The sequence below is a fragment of the Homo sapiens genome, chromosome 9 (assembly GCF_000001405.40).
Source record: "Homo sapiens chromosome 9, GRCh38.p14 Primary Assembly".
Taxonomy (NCBI): Eukaryota; Metazoa; Chordata; class Mammalia; order Primates; family Hominidae; genus Homo; species Homo sapiens.
This window is the reverse complement of record NC_000009.12, coordinates 87030195-87043711: the sequence shown is the minus strand read 5'-3', so window position 1 is coordinate 87043711 and position 13517 is coordinate 87030195. Positions and strand designations below refer to the sequence as shown.

Genomic DNA, 13517 nt, shown 5'->3' with positions numbered 1-13517 from the left:
CCTGGTGGTGACAAAATCTCTCAGCATTTGCTTGTCTGTAAAGTATTTTATTTCTCCTTCTCTTATGAAGCTTAGTTTGGCTGGATATGAAATTCTGGGTTGAAAATTGTTTTCTTTAAGAATGTTGAATATCGGCCCCCACTCTCTTCTGGCTTGTAGGGTTTCTGGCGAAAGATCCGCTGTTAGTCTGATGGGCTTCCCTTTGAGGGTAACCCGACCTTTCTCTCTGGCTGCCCTTAACATTTTTTCCTTCATTTCAACTTTGGTGAATCTGACAATTATGTGTCTTGGAGTTGCTCTTCTAGAGGAGTATCTTTGTGGCGTTCTCTGTATTTCCTGAATCTGAACGTTGGCCTGCCTTGCTAGATTGGGGAAGTTCTCCTGGATAATATCCTGCAGAGTGTTTTCCAACTTGGTTCCATTCTCCCCATCACTTTCAGGTACACCAATCAGACGTAGATTTGGTCTTTTCACATAGTCCCATATTTCTTGGAGGCTTTGCTCATTTCTTTTCATTCTTTTTTCTCTAAACTTCCCTTCTTGCTTCATTTCATTCATTTCATCTCCCATCGCTGATACCCTTTCTTCCAGTTGATCGTATCGGCTCCTGAGGCTTCTGCATTCTTCACGTAGTTCTCGAGCCTTGGTTTTCAGCTCCATCAGCTCCTTTAAGCACTTCTCTGTATTGGTTATTCTAGTTATACATTCTTCTAAATTTTTTTCAAAGTTTTCAACTTCTTTGCCTTTGGTTTGAATGTCCTCCCGTAGCTCAGAGTAATTTGATCGTCTGAAGCCTTCTTCTCTCAGCTCGTCAAAGTCATTCTCCGTCCAGCTTTGTTCCATTGCTGGTGAGGAACTGCGTTCCTTTGGAGGAGGAGAGGTGCTCTGCTTTTTAGAGTTTCCAGTTTTTCTGTTCTGTTTTTTCCCCATCTTTGTGGTTTTATCTACTTTTGGTCTTTGATGATGGTGATGTACAGATGGGTTTTTGGTGTGGATGTCTTTTCTGTTTGTTAGTTTTCCTTCTAACAGACAGTACCCTCAGCTGCGGGTCTGTGGGAGTACCCTGCCATGTGAGGTGTCAGTGTGCCCCTGTTGGGGGGTGCCTCCCAGTTAGGCTGCTCGGGGGTCAGGGGTCAGGCACCCACTTGAGGAGGCAGTCTGCCCCTTCTCAGATCTCCAGCTGCGTGCTGGGAGGACCACTGCTCTCTTCAAAGCTGTCAGACAGGGACATTTAAGTCTGCAGAGGTTACTGCTGTCTTTTTGTTTGTCTGTGCCCTGCCCCCAGAGGTGGAGCCTACAGAGGCAGGCAGGCCTCCTTGAGCTGTGGTGGGCTCCACCCAGTTCGAGCTTCCCGGCTGCTTTGTTTACCTAAGCAAGCCTGGGCAATGGCGGGCGCCCCTCCCCCAGCCTCGCTGCTGTCTTGCAGTTTGATCTCAGACTGCTGTGCTAGCAATCAGCGAGACTCCGTGGTTGTAGGACCCTCCGAGCCAGGTGCCGGATATAATCTCGTGGTGCGCCGTTTTTTAAGCCAGTCGGAAAAGCGCAGTATTCGGGTGGGAGTGGCCTGATTTTCCAGGTGTTGTCTGTCACCCCTTTCTCTGACTAGGAAAGGGAACTCCCTGACCCCTTGCTCTTCCCGAGTGAGGCAATGCCTCGCCCTGCTTCAGCTCGCGCACGGTGCGCGCACCCACTGACCTGCGCCCACTGTCTGGCACTCCCTAGTGAGATGAACCCGGTACCTCAGATGGAAATGCAGAAATCACCCGTCTTCTGCGTCGCTCACGCTGGGAGCTGTAGACCGGAGCTTATTCGGCCATCTTGGCTCCTCCGTTCCCTCTATGGTAATTCTTTTCTTTCTTCCTGTTGCGTTTCTCTGGCTACCTTTAATATTTCCTTTTTATCTTTGATTTTCAGCAGTTTGATCCTGAAGTATACTTGCACTTCGTATCCTTTTTCTTTTTCCTCTTCCTTTCCTCTTCGTTTCTTCGTCTTTCATGTTTATAAAGTTCTTTTTTCCTGGGTTTGTTTCAGTTTGAATAATTTCTCTCAAACTATTTTCAAATTTACTGATGTTTGCCCTCTTGGCAACGTACAGTCTGTGCATGGGCCCTAGAAAAAAACTTTTTTTACAAAAAACTCTGATTTGTTTTTTAATTTCTAGTGTCTCAATTGAGACTGTAAAAAATGCTATTCATCTCTGCTGAAATACCTCATTTGTTTAATTAATGTTTCATTCAACCCTTTAAAATTATGCTCTCTTCCCTGATGGTAGAATGCTGTGGTTTTTGTTGTTGTTATTGTTTTCATCATTTTTTAAATCTTTTTCCACTCTAAACTAAACTTTGTAAGGACAAGGACTTGGTGTAATTCGCTGTCATATTCCAAATACTCATTACTGTAGTAATGCTTTAACAAATTGTAATTGAGTGAACAAACGAACACACTGCCATGTTTACTGCCATGGTTTAAAGTGTTGCCACTTCCTGATAAAATGTACATTAGTATCTGTTTCTGTCCTATATCTCAAAAAAATTACTAAACATAACGATTTATGCCTAAATAAGATAATCTAGGCTAAAACATTCAGACTCTAAAAATCGAAAGTGAATGCGTTAAATATGAGCTAGGAGCAGTAATGAATGATCAAAATGTTTTAGAAAAGCATAAATACCAAAGTTCCCTACTGCAATGAACAACCATAGTTTCTGGTCATTAGTTTTAAAGACTGGAATTCATTGGAAGGCAACTGATAGCTCATAGAACTGATAGGAAACTAGCAAATAGAAATTAAGGAATAGGTGAGAATGAGGCTGCTCTGGGAGTCCAAGGACCCAATCACTTTGTAAGAGGCCTGGTCAGACCAAGACACTGCTATTGACATAAGACTCCTGCATAAATAGACTCCACCACTGACTCCCTGGAAGCCACTGTCCCTAGCCGCTGATTGTTTTGGCTCATCCCTTTTGGTCTTCAGCAGTGGTAGGCAAAGTATAACAGCCACTATTGGTGGCCTGCCACTATTCCCTCCTCTCATTTCACTGCAAGCCTCCACACTTTCTATTGTCAGCACCTGCACCCCTTAGCCTGAGGGAGCCCTCAACCAAGGGTATTTGTATTAGTCAGGGCTATCCAGAGAAGCCAAACCAAAAGGCTGTGTGTGTGTGTGTGTGTGTGTGTATGTGAAGACAGAGACAGACAGAGAGAAGAGATATTTTAGTAAGTTGGTTCACAGGATTTCACAAATCCGAAATCTGTGGGGCAGGCTGGAGATCCAGGATAGAGCTGACATTTCAGCTTGAGCCTGGAAGCAGTCTGCAGGCAGTCAATTTCTCTTAAGTCCTTAGCAACTCACTGGGTAAAGCCCAGTGACATTATGGAGGGTAATCTGCTGTATTCAAAATCTAGTGATTTAAACATTAGTCATATCTAAAAATATACCTGCACAGCAATATCTAGACTGGTGTTTAACCAAACATGTGGGCACCATAGTCTAGTCAAGTTGACATGTAACATTAACCATCACAGTGTTAATGTTTAAGTTCCCCAGCTTCCTCATCCTTCTGGTGTGGAAACCCTGAGAGTTGTGTTATAGGCTGTTTCCCAGAGTTTCTCATAAGGATTAAGCTCCTGTTGCCTACAGTGATGACTCGCTTGATAATGCAGCATTTGTTGTTTTTTTCTCCTTTGCTGTTTTACTTTCCTGCCATTTTACCAGTGTCTTTTGGAGTCATTTTCAAAGTAAACTCCTTGCAAGTAACTTATTGTCTCTCAGTTTGCTTCTGAGATAATTCAAACAGAGATACAGAGCATAGAATTACCACAGCAGCACATACAATAAGGGATTTCTCCTAAAAAGAAAAAGGACATTTGGGATGCTGGACAATCAAAAAGTATTTTTCTACTTATAGCACAGGTGACATTTAGACATTGATCTCTACTGAAGTTTTCTTTCTGAATCCATCTTTTTTTGTTAGATCATTAATAAAAAAAATTTTTAAAGTTAGAGAAGTAATTGTCTTCTTAATCATAATAATAAACATTAGAGACACTCACTTATTAAAAGAATTTATAAGTGGCCAAAAGAATACTGACAATTTCATTGAAAACAAAAGTATAAAACAAAAAAAAGCCTGAATTTTGTACCAAAATTGTCATGTAGTATAATGATCTTAAGGGTAGAAGTTTTGTCTCTATGTATGTACTTATGTTTTCATTTATTAAGCAAGGCATAGCATTTAATCGTGGCTGGTGACTGTTTCTGTATTGCTGTTAAGTAATTACTTTCATGCAACTTATCAGAAAATTGGCTACTTTTTGACTCTCAAATATTTTATGAAGGTAGTGTAGTTAAATGTTTGATTTATGCAAAAAATGCAAAAACATCTACTATTATGTGTTTACTAATTAAGAGCATCTTGTTCTTAATATAACAGTTTTCTATAAGAATATTTCCTGCTCTTATAACCTGCTTTTATATCTTTGACAGCATTTTTGAGGTCATAAACTCTACTAAAATATTTTGAAAAAGAAATCCTATCTCAATATAATTGAGGTAGGATAATTATATAAATGAGGAGGCCATATACAGTATGAATTTTGTATTTAAAAGGCATATTAAATAAAATGAAGGGTGGCAGGTTGGTTATTTACTTTGAAAATGACTCCAAAAGACACTGGTAAAATATTGGGAAAGTAAAACAGCACAGGAGAAAAAAAAACAATAATGGTGAAATGTACCACAGTTTAAGTAGGAGTAATGTCTGAAGTGACAGAAATCATTGCCCTAAGTTTTCCAGGACAACCTGACAAAAAGAATGTTTGAAAGCAGAAATATCTGTCACAATATGTCTTATTTTTTATTCAAAATATGGATCTCATCACCCTATTTTCTGGTCTCATTGTTTTTAGATTTATCTGCACTCCTATTCCCAATATTCTTCATTGAACATATTCTCTTACTCTTGATTTATAGTTCATGATTAACTGGCCAAGTTTTATTGAGAGAATCCTCAGTCTGAATATCAATGCACTGGTTATAATTGCCACGCACTTACATTGATGCATCATTTATTTTGAAATAAAAGTTTTTAAAATGTGCTAATAGTCTTCTCTCCTAAACTGTGGAACCATGGTTTATAACTCTAAGGCCTTCCTTGTCACATAAATGTCAGTGTTTGTATTTGAACCTTTCACTTCTGAATGAGGTATATGGATAGGCTCTCTATGGCTGATTTGGATCTGTAGAAAACCTTGCAAAGCAAGTAAAGCTATTTGCCTTACAAATCAGGTCCTTCTTACATAGAAATAGTCTTAGGCAGTTGGCTCACCTTGTCATCTCTGACTGAGTTTTAGTAATAAGAAGGTTTTGAGCACATAACTATTCAGATGAATGAGAATTCTTAGTACATTATGGCTAGTAAGCAATCTCTTAGAAACCAACAATATTGTTGAAATTAGATGACAGTCTCTCTCAGCACAGAGGCCTAGTTACCTTCATTGGCAACTTCTTGGTAGGATGAAGCAGTTTGGGTGAAGTATGTCAAACCCATTCACTATAACCAGAGGGATTTTTCCATCAGTGTGATGTCATTACAGAATAAATAAATAGTAAAATTTTGAAAATGATTATTATTTGATGAGGCAATAAATAGCAGTCATTAAGGACAAAGGCTTTTTAAATAGGCCGATATGACGTTTACACCCCATCTAACCAACTAACTAAATAAGAAACGTACTGAGTCTCCATTCTCTCTGCTATAAAACAGCAACAATAATCACTTACCTCAGAGGGCTGTGTGAGTATTAAATAAGATAAAACATTGTGAGTGCTAGCTTAGCACCTGGCACATAGGACTGCTCAAATAAGCCCCAAAGGGTGCAGAGTGACTGTGTCACCGTATTGATTGCATAAAACAATTATATTCAAGGCTTGTTTTTCTTGTCTTTGCTATCAGCTCTTAACATATTATAGCTGTTCTATGTCTTGGAACGCAAAAAAATCATCAAAACACCAAGGTCTACTCTTAGAAATGTGATCACTTTTGTCAAGAAAAATGTATTTCAAAATTCTCTCCATCACTAGTTTCTAATTCTATCACTAAGGTGAGTGTGCGTACCCAGGGGATAGCAAGATGCTCCAACTGAATGAACAAAGAAATATGATTTTCTATGTCAATTTTCCCTCTTTTGTGTTTCACTTTTGTGTTAGTGCAGTAGGATGTATACAGAATTTATAAATAAATATGCACGTATGGGAGGGTACTGCTCTGAGTACACAACCTTTTGGAAACCATTGTTCTAGAACAGGAGCTGGCAAACTAAGGCCCATGGGTCAAATCTGGTCCGTTGCTTACTTTCAGAAATAAATAAAGTTTTATTGGAACCACAGCCATACCCATTTATTTACATATTTTCAAAGGTCACTTTTGCACTACAATGGCAGAGTTGAATAGTTGCAACAGTGACTGAATGGCCTGCACAGCCTAAAATAATTACTAACTGACACTTTAGAGAAAATGTTTGCCAAACCCTGTTCTAGAAAATGATTTGTATAGGAGGAGAATCATAATGCATACTGAGACCTGGTTTTTATACCTGTTCACACGAGTACTCAGACCCACCAGCCAACTTGGGAAGGTGGATGATGTTTCCCAGTTCCTTGCTACTCAGTGTGGTCCAAGGACTGGCAGCATTGGTGTCATCTGGAAGCCTGTTTGAAATATAGATTCTTTGGTCCCATGTCAGACCTATCAGAATCTGCTTTTGAACAAGACCTTCAAGACATATGTGTGTACATTAAAGTTTAAGAAATATCAGTCAAATTTATATAACTGTTAGGTGGCATGTTGGTGAAATACTTAGAAATGCCAAGGCACTATAAGTGGACCTTAGTTTTCTATTTCTCATTGTACATAAATCTGCCTCTTGCATTGCACCAATGCACTGATTGGCCATATATAGAGAACTAGGGGAGCTGGCATGGTCTGGCTCTCCTCCAGTTAATATTTATATATGGAAAGACTGAGTCAGCAGTATATGAGCTTTGCGATCTTTTTTATGAAAAGAAAAAAAAGTATCTTATTCCTGAAAGTTAAACCTTAGCGATGTGTTTATTGTTGGAGAAACATATACTACATTGAAGGAAAATTGATCTCTAGATTTTTGTTGCCATAGTTAAAAAAAAAATTCTTAACAGTTATAAAAGAAGGTTAAAGACAGGGTTTTTGTCCCCTACCTCACAAAGATGACATGCATGTAAGGTTCACTGTAGGAGGGCAGCGCAGGGCAGAATGAGCTTCCTAAACATGTGGGGAGAAACCAAGGCTCCCACTCAGGACTGGGCACCTGGGCCTGTGAGCACGAAAGGAGCATCGGATCAGGCTCATTGTACATTTCTGGCTTGGAGCTGGCTGACCCTTTCCTTCTTGAGGTTTTGTCAAGGGGTTTCCAGTTTTCCTAATTAACTATTAATGAGGTGGGTGTAATTTATTGACTAGGGCGAGGTAAACTAGCTGTGCCTGGAGTTGAGTTATGTTTCCTGAGGGAAAAGAAAACTTATGAAATAAATCATTCTCTCTTTAATTAGCAGCTTTGGCTAGCTCACTTGAAATGACTGCGCAAAATGTGAAAAGAAGCCAGAAGTTTAGTCAGAAATCTAAACGTGGGTCTCATTTGCTGCTTACTGAGAGATTTATGCAGTTCAGGGTGAATGTGTCGGGGGACCTGGGTGAGTTGCATGAAGCACCGTAATGAAATGTTCTCCTTCTGCTATGACTCTGGACAAAGCCTGAAGTAGGTTCCTTCCTTCTTTATTCCAGTGCATGCTCCAAATGGAAAAAGCCAGAGGACCCCAGATAGAGGAGGGGAACTAATTAATGTGTTTTCCAACCTTTTAGCTTTATCTTCCTGTCAACTTATCTGCACCATTAGGTCTATGTATCATTTTTACTTTCTTAACACAGAGTGCCTATTCTCTGACTTTAATACTACAAGCTATTGGATATAACTGCACCCAAGGTGGAAGCAAACCTTTATGTATTGATCAGTACAGGAAAAAATATATTTGTTGTTTCAGTTCTGGTCAGCATTCATTGGGTGCCTACTAGAACGTGTCAGATACTGTACTAGGGGGATGTAAAAATGACTCTACCCGGTAGGGGATCATAGATGCTGGGGGGAGAAGAATCTTTGAGAGTTCATGAGAAAAAACAAAACAAAACTGATTATGAAGTTTTAACTTTCTCAACAGACTAAGAGTAACCGAGATAATTTTCTTCATCTCACAATATTGATCATGCTTAAAAGCTCAAAAGAACATTGACCCCTTGCCTTCCCCCAGTTACTATCTCCAGCCTAAAAACTGCATGAGGAAAATGTATTCATTCTTCTTCCTGGTATTTCTCAGTAGAGCCTATTAGATTTTTTCAAGGTAGAGCCCACTCACACCTTGAGAGTGAGTTTCAATTTGAACCTGCCCTTTCTGGGGTTAGAATCCACCTTCTATGGCCAAACACGGTTTTCTGCCTTGAAGAAGAATGACCTGACAAGCTTTGTGGACACCCAGTGGCTCACTGAAACGTTTTGACGAATGAATCAAAAACATATGGATTACGTTTTCTTGAACATACTGGTGATTTTCACAGAAAATGAATTTGGCCCCAAGCATTTTGTTCTCCTGAACTTTCCGTCTGGACTCCAAACATTAGCAGGAGGCTGGGCAGAGATGTAGTTGGCCCAGTGTTTTCGGGCTGATATGTGGATTTTATTAAAACCTGCAGCTTCTTTCCTGACTCCTTGTTTGAACGTTTTTGTGAGGGGTCCGCTGCAGATGAGCACACTTTTAGCTTCTCAAAGTCATCCCTTTCCCCAAATGGCGACCTTTTTACTCCTTGGAAACAGAGGAAAGAAGAATTCCCATGCTTTCCTAGGAAAGGCTCATTCCCCTATCTCAGACCTCTAGGAACAAAATTACCCCCACACGCTACCATTTTAAAAAGAACAAAACAAAAGGGTTCTGGGAGCCTTTTTCCTGCCACAGAGCTATTATGAAAATCTAGCTCATGTTTCTATTTCGATCCCATTCACCTTTGTCAGCTAATACTTCATATTCATTAAATCCAAACCTTGACACTCCAGGTTCTTTTCCGTGCCTTGGTGTGGAAGAAAGAACCAGCTTTTCCCAGAGGCCGACATCTTTCCTCGTCCCCTTGACTAAAGCCACTCTGCCCACCTGCTGCCGAGAAAGCAGAGGCCAGTTCAAACCTGGGCATGGCCCTTGCGGAACAGGGGCTGAGAGCTCATTTGAAGAAGAACAGACCACTAATAAATCTCATGGTCATTACCCTTTATGCATACTTGTTCTAATAGGTGTCGCAGATTCCTGCCTCCTAATAAGGAAAGGAAGTAGAAAAACACATAAATTCTCTCAAGGGAGTCAGACAGCCTGAAGCCACACTCGACAGCTGCAAACGTTACCATGAGCACAAAAGCAAAACAGGGCTTAAAAAAGTGATACATTGCCAGGGATTTTGGCAAGATTTCCTTGAATCCAGACTATGTTTTGCATTGTTTCAGTTGAAAAGAAGAACAGCACTCCTGCCTGCCACATGTGATGGAATTTGGAGATTAAATAAACAACGGTGTTAATTGATCTAAAAGGGCTTGATTGAAAGCATCCTAACATTTCCCTTTACCTTGTTTTGTTTGTTTGCCTGCTTGCATGATTATTTTTTTCTTTCTTTCTTTCTTTCCTTCTTTCTTTCTTTCTTTCTTTCTTTCTTTCTTTCTTTCTTTCTTTCTTTTCTTTCTTTTTTCTTTTTCTTTCTTTCTTTCTTTCTTTCTTTCTTTCTTTCTTTCTTTCTTTCTTTTCTTTTCTTTCTTTCCTTCCTTCCTTTCTTTCTTTCTCTTCCTTCCTTCCTTCTCTCTTTTTCTTTCCTTTAAAAAACCTTAGCAGTTCAAGTTAGAGGTGTTTTTTTCTTTTCTTTTTTTTTTTTTTTTTGCCTCCAATGCCACCACATCATTCAGTCTAACTATTGAGCATTGCAGGTTTACTCAGGGGACAATTCTTGCCCTCCCCACCCCCTCTTCCCTTCTTCTTTTCTGGATTTACTTTCTCTGGGATGGTCTGGAGATTTGCTAGAGATGTACTGCCTACATATGTGGTGACTGCAAAAGGGGAAATTCATGTGCCTGTTGAAAAGGCCATTAGTCTACCCCATGAGAATTTAAGGGCTTATGAAGAAAATCCATCAGAATATTTAAGGCCAGAGTTCAAAGGGGACCCAAACATCCAGAGCAGCAGATATAAATTGCTGCACATTCTGATTTTGTCCAAATTTGTTAACTAAGACTGAGTCTTTCCTATGAGCTAGAATTAATTTTCCACAAAGAATACATTCTAGACTTTATTTCACAATTATTTCATTTCATTTAGTCTTGTTCACACTGATTTTAGGAAGTTACTTTTGAGAAGAATGCATGATTCTGAGCTTGGGTTTTTGTTGTTGTTTATTTTTAAAGTAATTTGTTTCATCTAATTTTGCACAAATGGAAGCTGAAATATTGCATTGCTAGAGGGTCTCTTATTCACATAAGAAGCAGAACTCCACAGAATTCCATGTCTTCATTAAATAATCAGAAAGGGCTTTCATCCATTACTTGGCATATTTTAATGCTTGTACTGAAAGGCAGCATCAAATAAATGCTCTATTTCCTCCCCGATTGGGACCTATTTCCATTTTTCTAACCAGAAACTTAGTCTAGGAAGACATGAAGTCAGGCCTCAGCTCCATTTTCTAGCATCCAGCCGGTATTTTTCTTTCTCTATTTTGTATCATAGGATAATCAAGGTATTTTACAGAGTTTCACATTTCTCAAAGGCCACATAGGCAGACATGGTAAACAAAATAGCTAAAAATCCTAGGTCCAGTGGTTTTCAAAATGTTTCAAGAAACTCAAAGATTCCATAATCATGCTTCAGATGTTGAAAACTTCAATTTCAAATTAATAGCTTATGGAAAACTATGGCAATCTCTATTAAAATTAAAAATACATACAATGTTTGACCTAGCACCTATACTTTGGTGGAATCCTTCCATTAGAAATAAAATGCCTCAGTACATTAGGATGGATGGATCTATCTATCTATCTATCTATCTATCTATCTATCTATCTATCATCTATCTATATTTATCTATCACCCATCTTCCTATCCATCCATCTGTCCATCTATCCACACACACACAGGATTATTAGAACATTGTTTACTTTATTAAGGAGCTGGAAACAATCTGAATAGCTAGTAATAGGGTAAAGACTGAAAACATGGTGTCCCATCCTTGCAGGATATTTCTGATGTATCATTAAGTGAGACCCTCCATAAATAAATGATACAGGTATTTAAAGATGCCGGTCCTCATCCACAATCACAGATGAAACATTCTTTTCTCTCTCAAACATCTTTATTGTCCTTATTTTTGCTGACATTTAGCTTTCATGCCTTCAGCATAAAGGAGTTTTAGGTAAGATTTAATTAAAAAAAAAAAAGCCCTACCAGATAATGAGCCCTTCAGAGAAAGAGAGGAACACAGCTGGAAGGGGCCATGGGCATCTCACCTCCATTGGTAATGTTTCATTCTTAAGGTGATGGTTACTACAAGAGTAGTCATTATGTCAGTCTTTATATTCTTTTGCATGTCTGAAACATTTCTCTTTTTTGAGACAGGGTCTCACTCTGTCACCCAGGCTGGAGTGCACTGATGCCATCTTGGTTCACTGCAGCCTTAACCTCCTGGGCTGAAGACATCCTTCCACTTCAGTCTCCCAAGTAGCTGGGATTACAGGCACCCGCCACCACACCCGGATAATTTTTTGTACTTTTTTTGTAGAGACGGGGTTTCACCATGTTGCCTAGGCTGGTCTCAAACTCTTGGGCTAAAGGGATCCACCTGTCTTTGCCTCCCAAAGTACTGGGATTATAAATGTGAGCCGCCGTGCCTGGCCTCATAATTTTTAAAAAGATAGTTGAGCTTTAAAATGTGCAGAAGTTCCTAGGCTGGAACTTCATAATCATAATCATCATGGGAAATTCATAATCATGGGAAACATAATCATGGGAAGTTCATAATCATCATGGGAAACAGAGGGTAAGAGGAGCTATCACAATAAATCCAAGGATATCACACCTATCTTCAACATCTAGGCTTCCCTACCGTCCTCCATACAAGACATCCCAGAGAAGCAAAATCATTTAACTTTTAGACATATTACAGTATGCTGATAATTACAGCATAAGAGATAACATTGACATTAATTAGCTAAGAGAGATTTAGCTATGATTATGGTCAAACATAGGTCACATTTCTATTTGCTGTGTTGGAAACATCATAACTGCTTATCAAGATAGACACATAGAGCATCATCTCATAGAAAAGTCGGCTGACATCTGATCATGTCCTAGTGCCCAGGGGCAGGCTGAGTAGAAGTACTGTCTCCCAACTATACCATAGTGACACAGAGAAAGCATTGAACCCACGATTCTGGAATCAGATACATGGATTACAGAAGTAAATGATGGTAGAACTATCAGGTATAATCTCTGCCTTTTGCAGGAATTTTTTTTTTTTTTTTTTTTTTTTGAGACGGAGTCTCGCTCTGTCGCCCAGGCTGGAGTGCAGTGGCGCAATCTCAGCTCACTGCAAGCTCCGCCCCCAGGTTCACGCCATTCTCCTGCCTCAGCCTCCCAAGTAGCTGGGACTACAGGCGCCCGACACCACGCCCGGCTAATTTTTTGTATTTTTAGTAGAGACGGGCTTTCACCATGTTAGCCAGGATGGTCTCGATCTCCTGACCTCGTGATCCACCCACCTCGGCCTCCCAAAGTGCTGGGATTACAGGCGAGAGCCTCCGCGCCCGGCTGCAGGAATTTTTAAGGGAGCAGATCCATGAGTTTGAATGGCCTGTGGTAATTGCAGTTGGCTGGAGACACAGTTTTTCCTCCAGACCTGGCTTTCTGACTCCCATTGCAGTTCCTTTTCACTATATTACACTTCACACCGTCAATCACAGGGCCTCGCCCAGCTCACTTGAATCAAATAATCATCCTAAGATATCAGTTTGCTTAATTATATTTAATTTCCCAAACTTCCTTCTGGGATAGGAAGCAAAATTCAACTGGGTATGGTTTTTCTCTTGTAAATATTTAGAGGAACTGTACTGAGTGTTAGAATAAGTGTCTATTTCTAGTCAGAGAAAGTTGCCTTTCAGTGGTGATGAACCAAGGCCATTTGCCATCCAGAACAAGCCATGTAGCTCTGGAACGAGCTGTTAACATCTAGATTGTGCTGCTCCACTTTTTAAAGAACTCAGAGTATAACTCTACAAGTTTCTTTATGATCATGGTATCTCCCCCTGCCAGGTAAGTATAAAAAGTTAATTCAATTAGAGTTTATGGCAGTCATCAAATAAGGTCAGTGTTGCTAACTAGATCTGTTTATTATTTTAGTCGTCATTTATATATG

The 13517-nt window shown here is 39.7% G+C and overlaps 1 long non-coding RNA gene across 1 annotated transcript in view, besides 1 other annotated feature; it reads left to right on the top strand.

Moving 5' to 3' along the window:
* The first annotated feature begins 1585 nt into the window (after positions 1 to 1585).
* The window catches only part of LINC02893 (long intergenic non-protein coding RNA 2893), a 33676-nt gene continuing 21744 nt past the window's right edge, over positions 1586 to 13517 (top strand). Inside the window, exon 1 of the long non-coding RNA NR_027471.1 lies at positions 1586 to 1841. This is a non-coding gene — a long non-coding RNA (long intergenic non-protein coding RNA 2893). The remainder of the gene's footprint in view (positions 1842 to 13517) is intronic.
* Positions 7029 to 10277: an enhancer, noted in NCBI's record as "VISTA enhancer hs1463". NCBI's record gives its function as "enhancer in: limb[6/7]" and the evidence as "EXISTENCE:transgenic organism evidence [ECO:0001131][PMID:17130149]".